Source organism: Homo sapiens, chromosome 19 (assembly GCF_000001405.40).
Source record: "Homo sapiens chromosome 19, GRCh38.p14 Primary Assembly".
Lineage (NCBI taxonomy): Eukaryota > Metazoa > Chordata > Mammalia > Primates > Hominidae > Homo > Homo sapiens.
The window spans coordinates 48,484,245-48,507,405 of NC_000019.10; the positions used below are offsets into that span (position 1 = coordinate 48,484,245).

The 23,161-nt window shown below is 58.4% G+C and overlaps 1 protein-coding gene across 4 annotated transcripts in view, besides 11 other annotated features; it reads right to left on the reverse strand.

Moving 5' to 3' along the window:
- Positions 1-1,026: 1,026 nt before the first annotated feature.
- LMTK3 (lemur tyrosine kinase 3) overlaps positions 1,027-23,161 on the reverse strand; it is a 28,410-nt gene continuing 6,275 nt past the window's right edge. For all 4 annotated transcript variants that reach the window (XM_011526412.3, XM_011526411.3, NM_001080434.2 and 1 more), the window contains 10 exons: positions 18,665-18,752; positions 18,189-18,337; positions 17,234-17,318; positions 17,039-17,160; positions 16,752-16,901; positions 13,149-15,673; positions 9,450-9,865; positions 7,160-7,295; positions 6,864-7,001; positions 1,027-1,545 (listed from right to left, as the gene is read on the reverse strand). In XM_011526412.3, the coding sequence (XP_011524714.1) occupies positions 1,529-1,545; positions 6,864-7,001; positions 7,160-7,295; positions 9,450-9,865; positions 13,149-15,673; positions 16,752-16,901; positions 17,039-17,160; positions 17,234-17,318; positions 18,189-18,337; positions 18,665-18,752 (3,826 nt within the window). In that variant the 3' untranslated portion in view covers positions 1,027-1,528. The remainder of the gene's footprint in view (positions 1,546-6,863; positions 7,002-7,159; positions 7,296-9,449; positions 9,866-13,148; positions 15,674-16,751; positions 16,902-17,038; positions 17,161-17,233; positions 17,319-18,188; positions 18,338-18,664; positions 18,753-23,161) is intronic.
- Positions 5,724-6,295: an enhancer, noted in NCBI's record as "H3K4me1 hESC enhancer chr19:48993225-48993796 (GRCh37/hg19 assembly coordinates)". NCBI's record gives its function as "activates a minimal SCP1, AML or CMV promoter by ChIP-STARR-seq in naive H9 embryonic stem cells {active_cell/tissue: H9 hESC(naive)}" and the evidence as "EXISTENCE:reporter gene assay evidence [ECO:0000049][PMID:30033119]".
- Positions 6,811-6,990: a silencer, noted in NCBI's record as "silent region_10882". NCBI's record gives its function as "represses an Ori minimal core promoter by ATAC-STARR-seq in GM12878 lymphoblastoid cells {active_cell/tissue: GM12878}" and the evidence as "EXISTENCE:reporter gene assay evidence [ECO:0000049][PMID:35858748]".
- Positions 7,051-7,130: a silencer, noted in NCBI's record as "silent region_10883". NCBI's record gives its function as "represses an Ori minimal core promoter by ATAC-STARR-seq in GM12878 lymphoblastoid cells {active_cell/tissue: GM12878}" and the evidence as "EXISTENCE:reporter gene assay evidence [ECO:0000049][PMID:35858748]".
- Positions 8,710-8,919: a silencer, noted in NCBI's record as "silent region_10884". NCBI's record gives its function as "represses an Ori minimal core promoter by ATAC-STARR-seq in GM12878 lymphoblastoid cells {active_cell/tissue: GM12878}" and the evidence as "EXISTENCE:reporter gene assay evidence [ECO:0000049][PMID:35858748]".
- Positions 8,919-9,110: a silencer, noted in NCBI's record as "fragment chr19:48996420-48996611 (GRCh37/hg19 assembly coordinates)". NCBI's record gives its function as "represses an EF-1alpha promoter that drives an FKBP-Casp9 reporter gene in an ReSE screen in K562 erythroleukemia cells {active_cell/tissue: K562}" and the evidence as "EXISTENCE:reporter gene assay evidence [ECO:0000049][PMID:32094911]".
- Positions 8,919-9,419: a biological region, named in NCBI's record as "ReSE screen-validated silencer GRCh37_chr19:48996420-48996611".
- Positions 8,940-9,419: a silencer, noted in NCBI's record as "silent region_10885". NCBI's record gives its function as "represses an Ori minimal core promoter by ATAC-STARR-seq in GM12878 lymphoblastoid cells {active_cell/tissue: GM12878}" and the evidence as "EXISTENCE:reporter gene assay evidence [ECO:0000049][PMID:35858748]".
- Positions 9,610-9,659: a silencer, noted in NCBI's record as "silent region_10886". NCBI's record gives its function as "represses an Ori minimal core promoter by ATAC-STARR-seq in GM12878 lymphoblastoid cells {active_cell/tissue: GM12878}" and the evidence as "EXISTENCE:reporter gene assay evidence [ECO:0000049][PMID:35858748]".
- Positions 9,672-10,172: an enhancer, noted in NCBI's record as "H3K27ac hESC enhancer chr19:48997173-48997673 (GRCh37/hg19 assembly coordinates)". NCBI's record gives its function as "activates a minimal SCP1, AML or CMV promoter by ChIP-STARR-seq in naive H9 embryonic stem cells {active_cell/tissue: H9 hESC(naive)}" and the evidence as "EXISTENCE:reporter gene assay evidence [ECO:0000049][PMID:30033119]".
- Positions 17,323-17,432: a silencer, noted in NCBI's record as "silent region_10887". NCBI's record gives its function as "represses an Ori minimal core promoter by ATAC-STARR-seq in GM12878 lymphoblastoid cells {active_cell/tissue: GM12878}" and the evidence as "EXISTENCE:reporter gene assay evidence [ECO:0000049][PMID:35858748]".
- Positions 17,663-18,192: a silencer, noted in NCBI's record as "silent region_10888". NCBI's record gives its function as "represses an Ori minimal core promoter by ATAC-STARR-seq in GM12878 lymphoblastoid cells {active_cell/tissue: GM12878}" and the evidence as "EXISTENCE:reporter gene assay evidence [ECO:0000049][PMID:35858748]".

A 23,161-nucleotide genomic window follows, 5' to 3' on the forward strand; every position in this document is an offset into this window, starting at 1 on the left:
CGCCCCACTGCACTCCAGCCTGGGTAACAGACTGAGACTCCGTCTCATAAAAAAAAGGAAATAGAGACAAAAGCACAAGGCAGAAGGACATAATCGAGACAGGAGGAGGTGACAGGGAGACACAGACAAGGAGAAAAATGTGGAGGCAGGGAGGAACTCGAGACAAAAACATCGAAATAGAATTAGACAGGGAGGAGGAGGCCAAGAGCAAGAGACTCAGATGGGGAGACAGGAAAACTCCAGATCAGTTGGAGACCAAAACTGGGGCAGGGTGAGACAGGGAGCCAGAATGTTGGAAATGAGAGAGAGCCACACAGATAGGTGCGGTTAGGGTAAAGACAAGGGATGAGAATGTCAGCGAGGTGGGCGGTCGCATGGAAAAACAGGTAAACTGAGGCAGCACCACGCTGGGTGGGGAGGTAGACCCTGAACTTCAAGGAACAGGCAGTGCCGACCTGAGGTGGGTGGGATGTGATCGTGATCCAGTGTGGGCATGAGCAGCTCATTTCTGAGCCCCTGCCCCACTAGCCCCTGGCCCTGGGATAGCGTCTGGCCACCACCGCGGGCCACCTTGCAGAAACGTGGCTCTGACCGCAGCCTGCACCTTCCCACCCAACCCCAGTGGGCTCCTTATGGTTTTTTGTTTGTTTGTTTTTTGTTTTTTTTTTTTGAGATGGAGTCTCACTCTGTCGCCCAGGCTGGAATGCAGTGGCACGATCTTGGCTCACTGCAACCTCCGTCTCCTGGGTTCGAGCGATTCTCTTGCTTCATCCTTATGGCCTCTTGAGCCAGCAGTGCTGCTGCTGCAGCGGCCAAGGTTGGGCGATGCAAACCCCAGGCGCAGAGCCGGGATCTGGAGAAGCAGAGAAGCCGGGCCTCCGCCACTGTGCGGGAGTTTCCGCTTCTCTGAGCATCCGATGTCCCATCTGCCATGCGGGCCAGGCTGTGAGGATGGGACTTCTCAGGGTCGCACTCGCTCCCTGCATCCTCCCCTCCTCACCTCGCGAAATACGCACAGGCCCCGTGTTCCTCCAAAAAGTTGTTTTTGTCTTTTTTAAATAATGTGAAAATGCCACGCGAAGGTTTGAACCAGAGGCCCCTCCAGGGGCCGGGCTGGGGAGGGAAAGGGGAGACGCGAAATGGGGGGTCCGGGTCCCCGAAGCCTGCGGCCCCTGTCTTGGGCCAGGAGTGGGTGAGGAGGGACCTCCGCTGTGTCGAGGGGCTCCAGGCCCAAAAGAGTTCAGTTCAGTTCCGAGAAAGGCGGCTCTCTATGGAGGGGCGGGGGGATTCCTGCCTCATTTGGCTCCGAGGGGGTCAGGGGGGTCAGGGGAGCCATCTGGGGGGCTGGGGGGCGGGGGCCCGGGGCCTCCCGTTTGGCACATGGTAGGGGAGTGGGAGGGGGAGGGCCCAGCCTCGGGGGCCTCCCCAGAGGCGGCGTCTGCGGTGGTGGCAGTGGCGCCGTCATCCACAGAGGATTCCATTCTCAACCCCTCTTCTGAGGGTGCAGCGGGGTCGGGTCTTCGGGGAATCAATTCTCCACGGGGCCTGAGGATGGACAGAGGAGACAGAGAAATGAAATTACTAGGGGGACAGCCTCATGGCTTCTAGGTCACTCAGCGGAAAAGCAAAGCCCTCACCCACCATGGCCCAAAAGATCTGCTCTGTTCCCTCTCTGTCCTCACCTACCCCTCTTCTCCCCTCTGCTCCAGCCACTGGGCCTCCTGCTGTTCCTCCAGTGCTCCCAGCACGGTCCGACCCCTGGGTCTTTGCACATGCTGTTCCCGCTGCCTGGAACATTCTTCCTTTTTTTTTTTTTTTTTTTTTTTTTTTTTTGAGACGGAGTCTCGCTCTGTCGCCCAGGCTGGAGTGCAGTGGCGCGATCTCGGCTCACTGCAAGCTCCGCCTCCCGGGTTCACGCCATTCTCCTGCCTCAGCCTCCCAAGTAGCTGGGACTACAGGCGCCCGCCACTACGCCCGGCTAATTTTTTGTATTTTTAGTAGAGACGGGGTTTCACCGTTTTAGCCGGGATGGTCTCGACCTCCTGACCTCGTGATCCACCCGCCTCGGCCTCCCAAAGTGCTGGGATTACAGGCGTGAGCCACCGCGCCCGGCCTTTTGGAACATTCTTCCTACGTGACTCAGGCCCCACCTGCAACGTCCCCTCCACAGAGTCCTTCCCCAACCATACTGAATCAAGCAGTCACCCCTGCACGCTCATCTTTCTCACTCATTTCCCTCTGACTGGTTTGCATTTGTCACTCTGGGATGACCCTGTCCTTGGTTTTGTTGTTGTTGTTGCTGCTTTGTTTTGAGATGGAGTCTTGCTCTGTTGCCCAGACTGGAGTGCAGTGGCATGATCTCAGCTCACTGCAAACTCTGCCTCCTGGGTTCACGCCATTCTCCTGCCTCAGCTTCCCGAGTAGCTGGGACTACAGGTGCCCACGACTACGCCCGGCTAATTTTTTGTAGTTTTAGTAGAGACGGGTTTTTACTGTGTTAGCCAGGATGGTCTCAATCTCCCAACCTCGTGATCCACCCACCTCAGCCTCCCAAAGTGCTAGGATTACAGGCGTGAGCCACTGAGCCCGGCCGAACCTGTCCTTGTTTGTTTTTTGGGGGGGTTTTGCTTGTTTGTTTTGAGATGGAGTCTCACTCTGTTGCCCAGGCTGGCATGCAGTGGCGCAATCTTGACTTGCTGAAACCTTCGCCTCCTGGATTCAAGCAATTCTCCTGCTTCAGCTTCCTGAGTAGCTGGGATTGCAGGTGCCTGCCACCACACCCGGCTATTTTTTTTTTTTTTTTTTTTTAAGACAGAGTCTTATTCTGTCGCCCAGGCTGGAGTACAGTGGCACGATCTTGGCTCAATGCAACCTCCACCTCCCAGGTTCAAGCAATTCTCCTGCCTCAGCCTCCCAAGTAGCTGAGATTACAGAGGTGTGCCACCACACCCAGCTAATTTTTGTATTTTTAGGAGAGATGGGGTTTCACCATATTGGCCAAGCTGGTCTCGAACTCCTGACCTTGTGATCCACCTGCCTCGGCCTCCCAAAGTACTGGGATTACAAGTGTGAGCCACGCGCCCAGCCCACCTGGCTAATTTTTGTATTTTTCATACAGACGGGGTTTCACCATGTTGGCCGGCTGGTCTCGAACTCCTGACCTCAAATGATCTGCCCGCCTTGGTCTCACAAAGTGCTGGAATTACAGGTGTGAGCCACCATGCCTGGCCTACCCTGTCCTTGTGGAAAAGCTTCCTGTCTGCTTGTTCCTATAAAATGTAAGCTCAATGATGACAGGAGCTGCGGTCACTGCTGTGTCCCCAGCATCCCGTCTGGCACAAAGCACACCTTTTCCCTGTGGAAAGAGCTCTCCCCAGGAACTCCGACCAAACTTTCCTATGACTCTAGCTCTGACTTCCCTGGGCGAGCAGAATGAAAGCCCCATCCATTGTACAGACCAGAAAGCTAAGGTCCAGGAGGTGCAGGTTCTCGTTGGGGGCCTCATATCAGGCTCCCTCATGCTCCACCCTGTACTTTGTACCTGGGAGGCCTGGGTCAAGTCACTGCCCTCACTCCCAGTCCCTGAGCTTGAGTTTCGCTCTTTTAATGGGAAGCATGACCTTCATGCTTCATGGAGACTTTGGGGTATGTGGCATCTCTTGGTACCCAGTAAATGTTTGCTAAGTGGACAGAGCCACATTGAGCAGGGCAGAGGAGAGGACCCGCCTCAGGCCCCCACACCATGGTCTTGGGAGCCAGACAGGCTCAGCAGCTCGCAGCCCACGCTGCCGCAGGAATATTTGTCAACTGAGCGAAAGGATTTGGGGTTTGGCACAATTGCACCCTCCGTCTCCTCTCCTGGTGATTAAAGGTGAAGCCATTCTCGCTTGCCAGCCCTGCCAGCTCAGCCCTGACTCACCACTTGGCAGTGTCCCCATACCCTGGAATGCACCCCCACCCTGTCCTCACAGAGGCCCTGCGATGATGGCCTAAGGGAGAAAGTGACATTCAGAGTGAAGCCTGAGGATGCAGCCAAGTGAAGGAAGAGTCAGCCCCCAGACCTGTCCCACCTGCCCTTGACTCTCTGCCCTGTCCAACCTCTCCATTCCCACAGCCCTGGCTCACTATCCTCTCCTCAGCCTTTCCCCAGCCTCCCAGCTCCCACTCTTGCCCTTCTGCCCCCAAGAGACCCCAGAGCAGTCTTCCTACACCCAACATTGACTTCCCTCCCTTGCTTATAGTCGTCCGTGGCTCCCTGGCACCCCCAGGACAAAGTCCCAGCTCCTCAGTGCACCCCCTGCCATCTCTCCTCAGCCCTCCATGCACTCTAAGTAACCCTGAAGCCACACCAGTGTCCTTCTGTTCCTTGAGCGGGCCAAGCTCTCTCCTGCCTCAGGCCCTGTGTGCAAGCTGTCCCCTCTGCCAGCACGCCATCCCCTTCCCCTTCACCTAGTTAATGACAACCAACCCTTCCAGTTCCCAGTTAAATTACACTTTTTTTTTTTTTTTTTTGAGATGGAGTTTTGCTCTTGTTGCCCAGGCTGGAGTGCAATGGCTTGATCTCGGCTCACCGCAACCTCCACCTCCCAGGTTTAAGCGATTCTCCTGCCTCACCCTCCCAAGTAGCTGGGATTACAGGCATGCGCCACCATACCCAACTAATTTTGTACTTTTAGTAGAGACAGGGTTTCTCCATGTTGGTCAGGCTGGTCTTGAACTCCTGACCTCAGGTGATCTGCCTGCCTTGGCCTCCCAAAGTGCTGGGCTTACAGGCGTAAGCCACTGTGCCTGGCCTTAAATGACACTTCTAAGGGGAAAACAAAGCCCTTTCCTCTTGTCATCTGCTTTCTCTGCAAGCCTGAGTTTGCAGTTCTTCATTTGTCATAGCAGTGTGTGGTCAGTGTCTGCGGGGAGGGCCAGGCAGGCTCACCCGTCTTGCTCCACATTGAATCCCCTGTGCCCAGCATGGCGCCTGCACGCAGAAGATGATCAGAAAACATTGACTTAATTAAGTGCAGTAATAGCTAATAATAATAATAATAGCTAATGGGGCCGGGCATGGTGGCTCATGCCTGTAATCCCAGCTGGGAGGCCAAGGCGGGCAGATCGCCTGAGGTCTGGAGTTCAAGACCAGCCTGTCCAACATGGTGAAACCCCGTCTCTACTAAAAATACAAAAGTTAGCCAGGTGTGGTGGTGGGTGCCTGTAATTCCAGCTACTCAGGAGGCTGAGGCAGGAGAATCGCTTGAACCCGGGAGGTGGAGGTTGCAATGAGCCGAGATCACACCATTGCACTTCGGCTTGGGCGACGAGCAAAACTCCGTCTCAAAAATACTAACTAACTAAATAATAATAATAGCTAATGGTTAGAGACTGCTGCTGCACAGGCGCTGTGCTGCATACTCGGGAGGATTAAGCCATTTAATTCCCTCAGCAATCTCATGAGTTAGATCCTGTTATCATTCCCACTCTACAGATGAGGGAACTGAAGCACAGAGAGGGAAAGCGACTTGCCCCAGGTCACACAGCTAAGAAATGGCAGGGACAATATCTGGACTCAGGCAAGATTGGGGAAGTAGGAGTGAAACCCTCCAGTGGCGTCTTCTACCTTAGCTCTGATACCGGGGAGCACCACCTGTCCTGCCGAGCTGGGCACAAGCCCTGGGTCCTGGGGGTGTTCCCTGGCTCGGCAGCAGAGGGCAGCAGAGAGCCCAGTCCCGTTCCAGTCCTGCGCTGGGACCTGCCCGTGTGCCCTGCTCTCCCAGAGTGGCCTTAGCATCGCTAAAAGTTGGAAACTAGGGGCGGCATGACCCCTCTCCCAAGGTGGCCACGAGGATTAGCGATATGGCGCATGTGAAACGCCAGGAAAGAAACCTGACCAATGTTCACTACTGGAGAGGGCACAGACTCAGAGGCCGCGCAACTGTGGGTTTGAATCCCAGCTCCTCACTTCTCTCCGTGCCTCAGTGTTCTCTTTTGTAAAATTGGGACCAGACTGGCCAGGCCCGGTGGCTCACGCCTGTAATCCCAGCACTTTGGGAGGCCGAGGTGGGTGGATCATTCCAGGTCAGGAGTTGGAGACCAGCCTGGCCAACATGGTGAAACCCTGTCTGTAGTAAAAATACAAAAAAAGTAGCTGGGCGTGGTGGTGCACTCCTGTGAACCCAGCTACTTGGGCGGCTGAGACACGAGAATCGTTTGAACCCAGGAGGCAGAGGTTGCACTGAGCGTAGATTCCACCACTCCCTCCAGCCTGGGCGACAGAGCGAGACTCCGTCTCAAAAAAAAAAAAAAAAAAAAAAAAATGAGGACGAGGCTAGAATCCACCCCATGGGATCGCAATGAACATTAAATGGGTTAAACTGTGGTGAGGCACTGCAGGGTCCACGCGAGAGCAGCGGTGCCGCTGTGACTGCTCTCTAACCCCCAGCTGTGTCCTCCCTGCTCTGGTTCACACCAACCGGCTTTGAGCACTCTGGGTTTCTCTCTCCTTGTCTGCCCCTGAGCACCGTGTTCCCCAAACGGAGGTGGGATCAGGATCCGGCAAGTGCCAGGCCGGAGTCTGAGCCCAGAGATGGGACAAAGATGGGCAAGAGTCGGGGGTGGGGGTAATCCCCACAGAAGGTAAAACTGAGGCTCGGGGGTTGGGGACGGCCGGCCTGCCTGCCTACGACCGTCTGATGGACGTCGCCTGGTCTGAGCTGGTTCCAGAGCTGGGTGGGGTGTCTGTTGACTGAGAGGGGAGAGAGAAGAGACTGGGAAGAGAGAGGCAGGGACATTGAAAGATGGTCACAAGAAGTTGGCAGTGGAACATAGGGGGACAGAGATGGGCAGAGGAGGGGGCAGGGCCGAGGATATGGTACCTGCGGGCCGGGCGTCGGGGGCCCGGGCGGGTGGCCCCGGGGTCTCCAGCGCAGGCGAGACGGAGAAGCGGGAGAAGCACAGCGGGGGGCCTGGAGGGGGGAGGAGGGGGAAATCCTCCGCCCACTCGAAACTGCCTCCTGCGGCAGAAGGAAAGACCGCGGTCAGGCTGCAGACACCTGCGGCACTCCCGCCCTCTGGTCCCGCCCCTCCCGACCAAGCCCCTCCCACCCCATAGACCCCGCCCCGTCCGCCCCATGGCTCCCGCCCCCTCCCGCCCCATAGGGCCCGTCCTCACCAAAGCCGCTGTCGTTGCTGGGAAACCCATCTCCGGGGGTGGCGGGGTGGGGAGGTGTCGGGGGCGCTGGAGGCGTTGACGGGTCCGTGTCCCCCTCGGGGGGGGCCTGGACGCTCAGCTCGTTGGTTGGCGTCTCCTGTGAAGGCAGATTAGGGGGAAGCCAGAGGGGACAAACCTTCACGTCCCATTTACCGCATCCCCCAAAAGCAACAAAACCGGCTAATATTTCTGGGGCTCTAGGAATCCCAATTTGTAATCACTGACTCGCACGCTCTGGAGAGGTGGCTGGAGCCCCTAATCTGGCTTCGAAGCCTTGGGCCAGCCTTAACCTCAACCTGGCCAGAGGCTCCTTTCCTGACAGCGGAGCCCCGCGCACAGCTAAGTAGCCCAACGCAGGGATTCTCTCCTGGCTCATTAACGTGAGGCCTCCACCGGATCCCCTAACCCAAAGCGATCTCCATAAGCCCCACCCCGTCCACGTCAGTCCCACCCACCTCTGAGATCTTGACCTGCTCCAGTGGCCCTCCCAACCCCTGCCCCATCCTGAGCGCATGCCGTGCTGGATGCTGTGACCCTGCCCCTGAGCCCTCCCTCAGAAGTAGACCTGCTCCCGCCCTCCAAGTCCCACCCCTCTGAAAACATTTCAGTGGCCCAGGCCCCAGTTCTTGGCCTTGTTTCCATTCCTTTCATAATCTCAGCCCAGTATGCCCGCCCCAGGTTCATCTAGACAAGGTCCCAGTTCCTCAGCACCACTCGCCCTCCCTTTTTCTCTTCAACACCATATCCTGTGTTTTTCTTTTTGTTTTAGACAGAGTCTCACTGTCGCCCAGGCTGGAGAGCAGTGTTGTGATCATGGCTCAATGCAGCCTCAACCTCCTGGGCTCAAGCGATCCTCCCACCTGAGCCTCCTAAGTAGCTGGGACTACAGATGCGCACCACCACACCAAGATAATTTTTTTCTTTTTAAGAGACGAGGTCTCGCCATTTTGGCTAGGCTGGTCTCGAACTCTTGACCTCAAGTGATCCTCCCGCCTCGGCCTCCCAAAGTGCTGGGATTACAGGCGTGAGCCACCCGGGACAGGCCTAACTCTTAACACATTCCTCAACCCATCTCTCTAAAGACCCGTCCCAGTCGTTAGGTTCGCTCATCCCTGACCTCACCCCAGAATACGTTAAGACTGCCTGCTCCATCTCTGAAGCCCACCTGCAGCCTAGCCATGGCCCTTCCCTAGTGGGTAAGATCTGCTCCAACCCGAACCAGCCTACAGACACTAGAACTCTAGTCAACAAACCATGCCCAAACTCTCACTAGGCCCCTTCACCATCCAGGCCTCTTCTCAACACTTCCTCCCTAGCCTCTCCAGGATCCCATACTTGACTACCCAGTACCCCCTCTTTCCTTCCAGACCCACACTCTCTCTCCAGACCTCTCCTCGCCCTCTAGACCACGCCCCCGTCACAAGCCCTGCCCTCACCCTAGGTCCCGCCCCAGCTCTAGGCTCGGCCCATACTCCTGGCCCTGCCCCATTGCCAGGCCCTGCCCTCACACTCAAAGCCTCCTCCCATCTTCCTAGTCCCGCCCCATTTCCCTGACCAGTCTCTCCCCAGACCCCGCCTTCACCCCTCAGGCCCTTCCCGCGCCCTGCTCCATCCGCCCCGCCCTAGGCTCCGCCCCCATTCCAGCCTTGGATTTTCTCCAGGCCTCCTCTTGCCGCGCCACAGACTTGGCCTCCCTCAGGCCCGGATCCAGACTCTGTCCCGATCCTAGGCGCGGTCTCCTTCCAGGCCCCGCCCCCGCTCTAGGCTCAGCCTGCCTTCAAACCCTGCTGTAGACCCCGCCCCACCCTAAGCTCAGCCTTCGTCTAGGCCCCGCCCCAGGCCCTGCACCTCTAGGCTCGACCTCCCTCCAGGCCCCGCCCTGGGCTCCGCCCCCCAGCCCGCCCTCTCCCTGGGCCCCGCCCCACTCTAGCTCGGCCCCGCCCCAGGCCCCGCCCCACTCTAGATTGGGGCTCCCCTTAGGTCCCACCCCAATTCAGCTTGCCCTCCCTCCAGGCCCCGCATCACTCCAGCTCGGCCTCCCTTCAGGCCACGCCCCACTCTAACTCGGCCTCCCTCCAGGCCCCGCCCCACCCTAGCTCGGCCTCCCTTCAGGCCCCGCCCCACTCCAGCTCCGCCTCCCTCCAGGCCCCGCCCAACTCTAAGCTCGGCCTCCCGCCAGGCCCTTCCCGGCTCTAGGCTCCTGCTCCCTCCAGGCCGCGACCCCGAAACCGCGCCCTCTCGGGTTCCGCACCTGGTCGAAGAGGTAGACGGTCACGTCCCCGTGGAAGGAGACCATCTTGCGCTTCCTCTCCAGCTCGCTGTCCTCTGGCTCGTCGGCCCCGCGCGGAGACTTGAGCAGCCCCCGCAGCGGGCGGGCCGCGTCCGCGTCGGCGCTGCTCACCACGACGGGCACCGGGGCTGCTCGCGCCCTCCCGGGGCCCCGCGGCCCCGCCGCCGCGCCCGGCGCCGCCGCCTCCTCGTCCTCCTCCTCGTCCTCGTCCTCGTCCTCCCCGTCCTCCTCCGCCGGCCCCGGCGCTCCCGCCCCGCCGGCCTCCCCGCCAGCCGCCCCGGCGTCCGCGCCCTCCCACGGGGGCCGCCGCGGGCCCGGCCCCGGGAATGGCGTGAGCGTGAGCGGCGGCAGCGCCAGCGAGAGCCGGGAGAGCCTGGCTGCGAGGGGAGAGACCTGGTGAGCCCCTGTCCCGGTGAAACTGAGGCAGGCCCTCCCACCTAGCTGTGTGGCCTCAGATAAGACCCCCGCACAATCTGGGCCTCAGCACCCACTTTGTGAACGGAAGGGCTGCACCAGGGCTTCTCCAGGCAGGGTGGGAAAGGTCCTCTCCAGTGCTCAACCTCCCCAGAGCTCCCCAGTGCCAACGGCTTTAAGCCGCAACTTCCCACAGCCCACCAGGCCCTCATGCCCTGGCCTACCTGATTTCTCTGGCCTCTGTCCCCACCTCCTCTGGCCTGACCTCCATCTAGCCACATGGGCCACCCCACCATTCCTCCCACCGAATAGCTGGGACTACAGGCGCACGTGCCACCATGCCCGGCTAATTTTTTGTATTTTTAGTAGAGACGGGGTTTCACCATGCTGGCCAGGCTGGTCTTGAACTCCTGACCTTATGATCTGCCCTCTTTGGCCTCCCAAAGTGCTGGGATTACAGGCATGAGCCACCACACCCGGCCAGATCCACCTCTCTGAGCCTCTGTTTCCTCACTGGCAAATGAACAAGGGTCACTTAGCCCTCCATTACTGCATAAGTGAACTGCCCTTTCTGAGCTGATGGCAGGGGCAAGAGGAGGGTGGAGGTGGGGCAGGGAGAAAGATGAATGCAGACGGTCCCTCTCAGGTCCTCGTTCTCTCTACTCAAGTTTTACTACCTTTTGCTATTCTCTAAACATGGTGAGCCAGTGCACATCTCAGTGCCCTCTCTAGAACACTCTCCCACCGATGTCCACCTGCCTCACTCCCTCCTTTCCTTCACATCTGCTCAAAAGTCACACTTTTGTTGACCAGACATCTCAGGGTGATGGGGTTATGGGCGATGCTTCATAGAGGGAGTGTTTTTTTTGTTTTTTTTTTTGAAATGAAGTCTTGCTCTCGTCGCCCAGGCTGGAGTGCAGTGGTACGATCTCGGCGCATTGCAACCTCCGCCTCCTGAGTTCAAGCGATTCTCCTGCCTCAGCCTCCCGAGTAGCTGGGATTACAGGTGCCTGCCCCCACGCTCAGCTAATTTTTGTATTTTTAGTAGAGACAGGGTTTCACCATGTTGGCCAGGCTGGTCTCGAACTCCTGACCTCAGGCGATCCTCCCACCTCGGCCTCCCAAAGTGCTGGGATTACAGGTGTGAGCCACCGCACCCAGCCTAGAGGGGGTTTTTCTGGAGTTATGAGTACCCAGATGAAGGTCAGGTTGACAACCTTTAAAAATTAGGGAAGGCTTCCTGGAAAGGGGAAATTTGGGGTCTTGAAGGATGAGTAGTTCACTTGGGAAAAAGCGGGCCATTCTCTGCCTCTTTTCACCCCCCAATCCTAATCCAACCCAGATCCTCTGACGCATCTTAGCTGCTCATCTCCCAACATTTTCATGCAGCCTGGGCTGTTTCCTGATACAGCTGTTCACAAACTCCCTACAACAATCTCAAGGAAGTGACAGTGTTCGAACACCACAGGCTATGAGGAAGAAACGTCCTCTGTCCAGCCCACTTCCTGACCCTTGCCCACTGAGCCACAGGCTCCTCTATGGAGATGATAACTGTTTCCTCAAGTGTGGCTGTGAGGTTGCCAATATAAAACAGGACCCAGCCACTTATAACTTTCATACCCGTATTTAAAGAAGTTGCGCCTCCCAGAGATTCTGCTGGAACTGTATTTCCTATGTCCACATCTAAACAAGGGCTATTTATTTTTACCCTTCATTTATCTTAAAGAGTTTTCTCTGTGGCAAAATACTTCCTGCATTCCTACCAAAACTTAATTTTCAGAAAGGCATATCTGTGCCTTCCAGCTCACTAGTCCTATGGTGGTGGAGTTGTCAGGGCAAGATCTGAAGCTCCCTGGGTCCCAGCCTTGGGCAGCTCAGGGCCTCGAACACAGGAGGCCTGGCACACTGGATAGATGCCTTAGCTTACTGGAAAGTTGTTGTTTGTTTGTTTCTGTTTGTTTTGTTTTGTTTTGTTTTGTTTGAGACAGAGTCTTGCTCTGTCACCCAGGCTGGAGTGCAGTGACGTGATCTCGGCTCACTGCAATCTCTGACTCACAGGATCAAGTGATTCTTGTGCCTCAGCCTCCCAAGTAGCTAGGACTACAGGTGCATGCCACCACGCTGGCTAATTTTTTCTTTTTTTCTTTTTCTTTTCTTTTTTTTTTTTTCTGAGACAGAGTCTCGCTTTATCGCCCAGGCTGGAGTGCAGTGGCACAATCTCGGCTCGGTGCAAACTCCGCCTCCTGGCTTCAAACGATTCTCCTGCCTCAGCCTTCCGAGTAGCTGGGATTATAGGCGCCTACCATAAAGCCTGGCTAATTTTTGTATTTTTAATAGAGACAGGGTTTTGCCATGTTGTCCAGGCTGGTCTTGAACTCCTGACCTCAGGTGATCCGCCCACCTCGGCCTCCCAAAGTGCTGGGATTACAGGCATGAGCCACCCACCATGCCCGGCCCATGCCTGGCTAACTTTTGTATTTTTAGTAGAGATGGGGTTTCGCCATGTTGGCCAGGCTGGTCTCAAACTCCTGACCTCAAGTGATCCTCCTGCCTCAGCCTCCCAAAGTGCTGGGATCACAGGCATGAGCCACAGAGCCCAGCCAGCTTATTAAGTTTAAATCAGCACACGCTGGCAGCCTGGGGCCCTTGAGCCATCCACAGACAGGCTTCCTTTGAACTGGCTGCAACCATAAAAACAAAAGAAATAAAAACCAGAGCTCTAGTTTAAAAGGGAAAAGTAGCAGATTCGCCAACACCAGGTGCACATTCCTGAGAAGTGGCTGCCCCTTCTACACAGGGCATTTTCTTCTGAAGCCCCACTCTGCCTCCCTAGCATGCTTCATCCGTTTCCCTATGTCGTCTGGCCCCTGTGGGCATGAGTTTGAGACCCCTGGTCTAAGTGAGTTGCAATAATAAAAGCAGGTGCTTACTGAATCCCTTGCTCTGATTAAGTGCCTTGGATGTCCTAATTCATTTAACCTTCACAGCAACCCTATGACGTAGGTTCTATCCCTGCCATCCGTTTTTGGCAGATGGGTAAACTGAGGCACCGTGCAGCAAGGACATTTGCCCAAGGCCAAAGAGCTAGAGAGGGGGCTGAGCCACGATGTGAGCCCAGGTGGTGCAGGCTTCAGGACCTGCATTCATCACTGCCAGCCCGACCCGACATGTTTACCCACACTCACCCTCCGCACGCCTCGGAAACAGCCGGACCTCAGCCCTGACTGTGCCCCGCAGCCTCCTCACCTTTGATCTGCTCGCTGTTCCCCTGAGGGGGTCCCAAGTCCAAGAATAGTCGTGGCATCTCGGGGCCCTTCCTCTCGGGCTTGGGGGGGTCCCCGTCTCCGCTGAGTGCCGTGTCTCCGCCGGCCCTGCTGTCTGGGGCCCCGGGCTCTCCCTCGGGGGCCACCTCCGGCCTGGCTCTCGGGGGCGCTGGCTCCAGCCTCCTCGGCTGTGCCTCCGGTGGCGGTGGCAGCGGTGGCGGCGGTGGCTGCGGCCTCGTGTTGTCTACCCATCCGGCCTTTGCGTCCACGCCGCTTCCGGGGCCGCCGCCGGGGGCCGTCCCCGTGCCCACTGGGGCTCGGCCCCCACTCCCGAGGTCCAGCCTCCCAGCCCCTGGGGCTCTCGGCGCCCCCCCAGTCTCGGGGGCTCTCCTCTCGGTCCCGGGTTCCAGCGTCCCGTTCTTGGGGGCTGGGCCAAGGGGGCCAGGGGCTGTCTCCCCGCCGTTCCGGGAGGAGACCACTGCGCTGGGTGCAGGGGCTCTCTCCAGAGAGGTCTCTGGGGCTGGCTCCCCGATCGTGGGGGCTGGACCCCAACTCTCGGGCGTCTTCTCCCAGGGCCCTGGGGCTCTCCAAGGCCCAGTCTCTGGTGGCCTCTCCGTGTTCCTGGGGAATCTCAGGCCCCCATTCTCTGACACCTTGTCCTCGCTCTTTGGGGGTGTCAGGCCCCCATTCACCAGCACCTTCTCCCCGGCCTCTGGGGACCTCAGCTCCCCATTCTCCAGCGCTTTCTCCTCCCTCCTTGGGGGTGTCAGCTCCCCATTCTCCAGCACTTTCTCTTCTCTCTCGGGGGACCCCAGGGCCCCATTCTCCGCCGCCTTCTCCTCGATGCCTGGGGCTCTCTGGTCCCCGTTCTCCAGCACTGTCACCCCGTTCACTGGGAGGCTCAGGCTTGGGGCTTGTTTCCCGTTGCCCAGGACTGTCGGGTCCCTGTTCAGGCCCGGGACTTTCTCTCTGTTCCCGGGGCCTCTCCCCGCCTTCCTGGGTCCTGTCTCCCGGGCTGTCGCCCCCTTCTCCCCCAGGAGGTTCCTTGTCACATCCTCCCGCAGGGACATCAGCAGCTGTTCCGTGCTCACTTGAACCACGAAGGTCGGCTTCTCCCGGGGCCCCGGGAGTGGGAGCGGACCCGGGTCTGGAGGTGGCCGGGGCGCTCCTGGGTCGGGTGGCTCGGGGGGAGCCCGCGGCCGAGGGACCCCTTCCTCCTCGGCCGCCCCCCCACCTGGGAAGGCTCCCTCTGGGGAAAAAGGGGTCTCGGTCTCGTAGCCGCTGTCCCCCGGCTTGGGGCCCGGCGACGAGAGGCCTGAACCGGGACTGGCCACGGCCGAAGGGGGGTCGGGGGACGCGGCCGGGTCCGCGGGGGCCCGAGGAGGTGGCGGCGGGGGGGGGGGAGCGGGAGGTGGCCCCCGCCCGGGGTACTGGGGCGCCGCCGCCCCCATGAGGGGGTCCAGAAACTCGGGGGGGGCCGAGGCGGGGGGGGCCATGGGCAAGTCGGCCAGGGAGCCCCGCTCTGCCCGCAGCGAGGAGTCGTCCTCGGGGGGGTGGGGGCAGCCAAGAGCAGGGTGGCCTCCCCAGCCTGCTACGGCGTCCCCCCGCTCCAGTGGCAGGCAGGAGCAGGCCCCCTCGCGGCTGCACAGGGGACAGGGTAGGGGACCCCGGCGGCTTGGGCCACCTCCAAGGCTGCTGCTGTCTTCCCCTGGGGAGCTGCCCTCCTCCTCCTCCTCTTCTTCTTCCACCCACGGGGCGGTCCCCCGCTCCCCCAAGACCTCGGCAGGGTCTCCCGCCAGGGTCTCCCCGGCGCCCCGGCCCTCGGGGTCCCAGCCGCTCAGCAGGAAGCTGCCTGACGCTGAGGACTGGGCTGGGAAGGGCCGGGGCGCAGGGAAGAGGGGGGAGGCCCAGGTCTCGGACACCAGCTGGGGGACCTCGGAGGGGGCCTGGGGGGCCTGAGGGGCGGGCACTCCTGGGTCCAGGGGGTCCCAGTCGTTGGGGAAGAGGGGCTCAGGAGGGGAGCCGTGCTCCTCCAAGCGGATGTAGTACTCGCTGCTCACGGAGGGGCTGCGGGCGCTGATGACAGGCAGCACGCTGGGCGTGGACAGCGCCTCGTAGAAAGGGTTGGAGGGGTTGGCGTGGGGGGCCGGGGGGGCCGACGCCGGCTGCCAGGCAGGTGCCCCCCCACCCCGGCCGGCCCCACGCCGGGCCTTCTCCCACAGGCACTCGAGGTTGAGGCCGCGGCTACTCTCGGTGACCGTGAGCACATCGTCGGGGTCGGCTCCAGGGAAGCCATCCAGTAGGGGGAACGGTGAGGAGAGGGTCCCCGGGCGGGGCGCACTGTGTGCAGGGGGCCAGGGCCAGGGGAAGGGACCGTCTCGGGGTGGGGGTGGCGGCGGTGGGGGCCGGGGAGGCCGCTCGGAGAGCAAGTAGGTGAGCTGCAATTGGAGATCAGAGGCTGAAGGGCGCTGGGCAGGTGGCCGCCAGCAGGACTGAAGAATGTCATACCTGGGGAGAGGTGGGGCAGAGTGAGCAGGGCAGAGACCCAGGGAGGGGAAAGAGACCCAGGGAGGGGACAGACAACCAGAGAGAGGGGGACAGAGACCCAGAGGGTAACAGAGACCCAGAGAGAGGGGGACAGAGACCCAGAGAGAGGGGGACAGAGACCCAGAGACAGAGGGACAGAGATCCAGAGACAGAGGGACAGAGACCCAGAGAGAGAGGGACAGAGATCCAGGCGTGGTGGCTCACGCCTGTAATCCCAGCACTTTGGGAGGCTGAGGCCGGTGGATCACCTGAGGTCAGGAGTTCAAGACCAGCCTGGCTAACATGGTGAAACCCCGTTTCTACTAAAAATACAAAAAATTAGCCTAGCGTGGTGGCACCTGCCTGTAATCCCAGCTACCTGGGAGGCTGAGGCAGGAGAACCGCTTGAACCCGGGAGGCGGAGGTTGCAGTGAGCCAAGATCGTGCCATCGCACTCCAGCCTGGGCAACAAAAGCAAAAATCTGCCAAAAAAAAAGAAAGAGAGAGAGGGACAGAGACCCAGAGAGAGAGGGACAGAGACCCAGAGAGAGGGGGACAGAGACCTAGAGAGAGAGGGAAACATAGACCCAAAAAGTGGGGCAGAGATCCAGGGAGAAGAGGGGACAGCAGACGGTAGAGATTCAGAGGAGGTAACTGGGCTGGGGAGCTGGGTATTGAGACCCAAAGAAGCAGGGGTGGGGGGAAGATGCCCATAGAGAGAGGCTGACGGGACCTGGAGGCAGAGGGGACACAGCAGCAGATGGGAACGGCTGGTGAGGGTAGTGGTGTCCCTGTTTGCGCTGTGAGCTCTGGAATCAGACAGGTAAGAAGCAGGGACCTCTTAGGGTGAAGTGGGTTCAAATCACAGCTCTGCCATCCCCTGCCTGTGTCCCCCTGCAAGTAGCAGATGCTGGCAGAAAGGGTGGGGACAGCCCCTCTTCACTCTTGAGGGGTATGGAGGGCAAACGGGATGTGGGTGATGTGGGAAACGAGGGGGGATGCTGGGACCATCCTGGGTGGGGTGCGGCAGGCCAGGAGCCCCGGGTGGGCTAGCCCTCACCAGTAGTCCGCGTAAGGCAGCTTGAGCCTCGGCCGGGCCAGCTTCACATGCTGCTGGCGGACCACGAAGGCGAGGACCTCCTCGTCTGACAGGTGGCGGTAGGGCTGGGCCCCAAACTCAAACAGCTCCCACAGGGTCACCCCCAGGGACCTGCAGAGAGCAGAGAGAGGTCAGAGCCCAGCCCTGACCCACCCGGGCCTCATTTTCCCCATCTGTAGAACCGGTGGCATCTAGTAACCCTTCCACCTTCCTGGCCTGCCTCGGCCCCCGCGGCCCGTGGTCCTCACCAGATGTTGCTCTCGCGGCTCTGGTCCACCACCATGAAGGTCCCGTGGAGCTCCCCGAGGAGCTCGGGCGCCGCCCAGCGCAGTGGGATCCACAGGCGCTCTGGGGTCAGGTAGTAGTCCTCCTGAGGGAACCAGGGCGGTGTCAGGCGGGTCAGGGCACCCCACAGCCCCCATCCCGACGGAAGGAAGCCCTACCTTGTAGTTGCTGTGGGCCAGCCCGTAGTCTCCGATGCGCACGGTCAGGTCAGAGGTCAGCAGGCAGTTGCGCAGGGCCAGGTCGCTGCGGGAAGAACGCGAGGAGGTGAGCGCAGGGGCAGCCCTCCAGCCACGCCCTGACCCCGCCCTTTCACACTGACTCCACCCCTCCCATGACCCTGCCCCGCCACACTGACTCTGCCCCTTCCCTCTGATCTGTCTCTCCCCTCTGACTGCTTTCACTCTCCCCTGCTGTCTTGTCTTCTCCCCACCCCTGGTTCCTCCAAGTCTCCTCTCCTTTTCCTCTGCACTGGCTCCTCCTCTTATTCATCTGACCCTTCTGGCTTCTCCTGCTTCTCTGTTGACTCCTCCCCCTCCTCTCCCAGCCACCTCTCCTCATCACGTGACCCTGCTTCCCCCTCACCTGGCTCCTTCCGTTCCTCTCCTGGACCCTCCTCCTCTCCTGACTCCTCCCCCTCCCCTGCCCCCCTCCCCTGGCTCCTCTTCCCTCTCCTGGCTCCTCCTTCTCTCCTGGACCCTCCCCTATCCTGGCTCCTCCTCCTTCTCTCCTGGCCCCTCCCCTCCCCTGGCTCCTCCTCCCCCTCTCCTGGCTCCTCCTCCCCCTCTCCTGGCTCCTCCCCTTATCCTGGTTCTTCCTCCTCCTCCCCTGACCCCTCCCCCTCCCCTGGTTCCTCCTCCTCCTCTCCTGACCCCTTTTCCTCTCCTGGCCCTTCCCCTCATCACCTGACCCCGCCTCCCTCTCACTTGGTTCCTCTCATTCCCCTCCTGGTCCCGCCTCCTCTCCTGGCCCCTTCTCCTCCATACCCTCCTCGGTTCGTCCCTATTTTGTGTCAGCCAGTCATGGGTCCGCCCCCCCTCTAGCCCCTCCCCTGAGGCCTCACCTCCTTCCCCCTTCCCCTTAGTAGCTCCTCCCGCGGCTCCCCGGCCCGCCCACCTGTGCACGTAGTTGTGGGAATGCAGGTGCGCCAGCCCGCGGGCGATCTCCAGGCCCATCCTCTGCAGCGTCCGCAGGTCTCGAGGGGGTAGCTCAGGGGACAGGCCCTCGGGGGGCCGCTGGGCTCGGAGGTAACGCTTCAGGTCCCCCTGGGAGGGAGGCAAAGAAGGTCAGCACCACCAGCCGCTCAGGTCTCCAGCTAGTCGGCCCGGAGGCTGGAATGGCTTCTGCTGTCACTGGGTAGCCCCTCTGAGCCTTAGTTTCCTCTGCTGCTTGCAGCAGGTAATAACACAGCCCATCTTGCCTGCTTGTTCAGGCCAGCCCCCAGGACAGGCAGCACTCATGAAATGTTAGCGCATGCCACACATCATCTACGATGATGATGATGATGACGACGAAGCCCAGGGGCACCAGGCTTGGCCCCGGCCTTGTCCAGCTGCCCCCTCTGCCCTTCCCCAACCCCCCAAGACCCTCACCAGTTGACAGAACTCCATAATCAGCAGAAACGGCAGCGTCTCCACGCACAGACCCAGGCACTGGAGGACATTGGGGTGCTGCAGGCTCCTGTGGAGTGAGGAGGTGGCTGAGTTGGGAAGGCAGCCCCTTCCTCTTCATCCTGCCCCAACCCCCAGCAGAACCAAACTGCTGCCTCCACCCTTTTTTGTTGTTTTTGTTTGTTTGTTTGTTTTGAGACGGAGTCTCGCTCTGTCGCCCAGGCGGGAGTCCTGCCTCAGCCTCCTGAGTAGCCAGGATTACAGGCATGCGCCACCACGCCTGGCTAATTTTTGTATTTTTAGTAAAGATGGGGTTTCACCATGTTGGCCAGGCTGGTCTCGAACTCCTGACCTCAAGTGATCCACCCTCCTCAGGCTCCCAAAGTGCTGGGATTACAGGCGTGAACCACCGCACCCGGCCCACTCTACCTTTTTGATCTCAGTTTCCTCACCTCGGAGTCTCTCTCCTCGACCACACCCCACTCCTTCCCCAGGTCCCCATCTCTGGATGGCCCTCACTGGCCTGCTCCTGGGGGAGCAGGTCCCCAGGGACCCCTTTACCTCTCCTTCCTCCTTACACCTCACCTCCACCTTCATTCCTGCCCCAGACTCTTCTCAGTCTTCTCCTCCTCGTCCCCACAGCCTCCTCCCAGCCTCCCTGGCTCTAGTCTCTCCCCTTCCCTTTGCCTCACCTGCTTTTCACCACACACAGCCCTCTGTCGATCCCCAGCACCCCAGGATAGAGCGCCGGCTCTTTGATTCCTCCTGCTCCTCCGGCTGGCCCAAGAGTCAGCTTTATCCCATGTGGGTTTTCCCAAACCTGCAGGCCCTTGCTTAGGCCCGGGCCTTTGCACCTACAGTTTTCTCTCTCTCTCTCTCTCTCTTTTTTTTCCTTCCTTGCTTCCTCCCTCCCTTCCTTCCTTCCTTCCTCCCTCCCTCCCTCCCTTCCTTCCTCTTTGAGAGGGAGTTTCATTCTTATCACTCAGGCTGGAGTGCAATGGAGTGATCTCAGCTCACTGCAACCTCCACCTCCCGGGTTCAAGCGATTCTCCTGCCTCAGCCTCCCGAGTAGCTGGGATTACAGATGCCCGACACCAAGCCTGGCTAATTTTTGTATTTTTAGTAGAGACAGGGTTTCACCATGTTGGCCAGGCTGGTCTCAAACTCCAGACCTCCGGTGATACGCCCGCCTCAGCCTCCCAAAGTGCTGGGATTACAGGCGTGAACCACCGCACCCTGCCTGCACCTACGGTTCTCTCTCTGCAGAACGCCCTCCTCTCATCAGAGTTCTCTTGGCCCCTCCGGGCCTCTGCCTCAACATCATCTCCCCGGGAAGCTTTGCTGCCCCCCCAATGCCAGGTTGGATACCCTCCCCTTTACCCTCACGCTGTGGGAAAGAGTCAGACTCGGGGGTTTGAACCCTGACTCCCACTTTCCTAGGTGTGTCATCTCAGGCAAGCCACTTCGCTGCTCCCTGCCTCAGTTTTCCTCATCTGTAAAAATGGGACAGCGATAACAACTTCCTCTGAGGAATTACATGAGATCTGAGAGAAGCTGGTATGTGCTGAGATCCTAGCAATTACTGCTGTTTTAATGGCAACATATTATTTGATTTTATTTTCACCCTGCATTCTTTTTTTTAAGACAGAGTCTTGCTCTTTCGCCCAGTCTGGAGTACAGTGGTGCAATCTCGGCTCACTGCAACCTCCACCTCCCGGGTTCAAGTGATTCTCCTGCCTCAACTCCGAGTAGTTGGGATTATAGGTACACACTACCACACTCGGCTAATTTTTGTATTTTTAGTAGATAATGGGTTTCACCATGTTGGCCAGGCTGCTCTTGAACTCCTGACCTCAAGTGATCCACCCACTTCGGCCTCCCGAAGTGCTGGGATTACAGGCATGAGCCACCGTGCCCAGGCTTCACCCTGCATTCTAAATGTATTTCCAGGGCTGCTCACTCTCCATGAGCTTCTTCCTGTCCTACATCCTTTGTACCTGCTGTTCCTTCTGCCTGGAATGTACTTCCCATGGTGCTTTGCATGGCTGACTTCTCCAAGTCAACCCGGCCTCCCTGATGGTCCTATCCAAGGTGGCCCCTGTCTCTGTCACATACTGCCTCATTTTCTCATGGTATTTGTCATTCTCTGACAGTTTCTCTCTCTCTCTCTCTCTCTCTTTTTTTTTTTTTTTTTTTTTTTTTTATGAGACAGAGTCTTGCTCTGTCGCCCAGGCTGGAGTGCAGTGGTGCAATCTTGGCTCACTGCAACCTCCATCTCCCGGGCTCCAGCAATTCTCCTGCCTCATCCTCCTGAGTAGCTGGGATTACAGGCATGTGCCACCATGCCTGGCTAATTTTTATATTTTTATTAGAGACGGGATTTCACCATGTTGGCCAGGCTGGCCTTGAACTCCTGACCTCAGGTAATCCGCCTGCCTGGGCCTCTCAAAGTACTGAGATTACAGGTGTGAGCCACCACGCCCAGCTGACAGTTTCTCTTTTTAAAATGCATTTCTGGCTTGGTCTGGTGGCTCTCACCTGAAATCTCAGCACTCTGGGAGGCCGAGGCAGGAGGATGGCTTGAACCTAGAAGTTTGAGACCAGCTGGAGCAGCATAGTGAAACTCCATCTCTACAATTAAAAAAAATATATAGTCTGGGTGCAGTGGCTCATGCCTGTAATCCCTGCACTTTGGGAGGCCGAGATGGGTGGATCACCTGATGTCAGGAGTTCGAGACCAGCCTGGCCAACATAGTGAAACCCTGTCTTTACTAAAAATACAAAATAAGCTGGGCTTGGTGGCACATGCCTGTAATCCCAGCTACTTGGGAGGCTGAGGCAGGAGAATTGCTTGCACCCGGGAGGCGGAGATTGCAGTGAGCTGAGGCCCCGCCATTGCACTCCAGCCTGGGCAACAAGATTGAAACTCTGTCTAAAAAAAAAAAAAAAAAAGTCTGTAATCCGAATACTTTGGGAGGCCAAGGTGGGTGAATCACCTGAGGTCAGGAGTTCGAGACCAGCCTGGCCAACATGGTGAAACCCCGTCTCTACTAAAAATACCAAAAATTAGCCAGATGTGGTGGTGGGCGCCTGTAATCGCAGCTACTCTGGAGGCTGAGGCAGGAGAATCGCTTGAACCCAGGAGGCAGAGGTTGCAGAGAGTTGAGATTGCGCCACTGCACTCCAGCCTGACAACAGAGCAAGACTTCATCTGAAAAAAAAAAAAAGATAAATAAATAAAAATAAAAGTTAGCCAGGCATGGTGGCTATGCAGGAGGCTGAGGCAGGAGGATCACTTGAGCCCAGGAGCTCAAGGCTGAAGTGAGCCTTGAAAAAAAAAAAAAAAGTATTTATTTATCTATTGTGTGTCTTCTCCACTAGGGGGTGAGCTCTCCTAGGATAAGAATTTGGTGTGTCTTCCTGCCTGTGTCCTCAGTGCCTAGACTAGTAGTAGATGCTCAATAAACACAGGTGGAGAGAAGGACTGGCTTGGAGGTCTGCAGGAGGATGAGAACATTTCAGGCTTGCAGCCCAGGGTCTGGCCAGGAGTAGGTGCACAGTAACTTACTAGTTATTTTCCTACTGGGGCCTGGCGGGAGGCAGAGCCACTTGTGTGCTGTGGGGCCACTGCCAGTACCCAGCCTTCTATTGCCTGTGTGTAACCGCGGCTCTGCTGTTTATGCTGTGTGTCCTCAGGAGAACAGGGTCTCTTGCTTCTGTTTGGTGGAAGAATCGTGTAACAAAGTGTTGTTATTGTTGTTGTTTTCTCACGCTGTCTCCCAGGCTGGAGTACAGTGGTGTGATCTTGGCTCACTGCAACCTCTGCCTCTGGGGTTCAAACAATTCTCCTGCCTCAGCCTCCTGAGTAGCTGGGATTACAGGCGCCTGCCCACCACACCTGGCTAATGTTTGCATTTTTAGTAGAGATGGGGTTTCACCATGTTGGCCAGGCTGGTCTCGAACTCCTGACCTCATGATCTGCCCACCTCAGTCTCCCAAAGTGCTGGGATTACTGGTGTGAGCCACCGTGCCTGGCCAATTTTTTTGTATTTTTGTAGAGATAGGGTTTAGCCCAGGCTGGTCTCCAAGTCCTGAGCTCAGGCAGTCTGCCCGCCTTGGCCTCCCAAAGTGCTAGGATTACAGGCAGGAGCCCGACAAAGTGTTCATGAAGCTCCTGCCATGTGTGGGGCTTCAACAGTGGCTGGAGTTCCCAGCATGGGAGACTTGGGGTGGCTGGTGTAGAAGGAAGCCAGGATTCACTGCACACCCACGAATCTGGCCAAGGCCGGCCGCTCTGCTCTCAAATCCTCCCAGCAACGTGCTAGGCAGGATGATGATCCCCATTTGATCCAGATGGAACAGAGGTGAAGCGACTTGCCTAGGGTCACACAGCTGGTAATGATGGGAACATTGGGATTTGATCTCAGGTCTGTGGCTCGCCCAGCAAACGTCTACTGAGAGCCAGCAGCACTTGTGCTC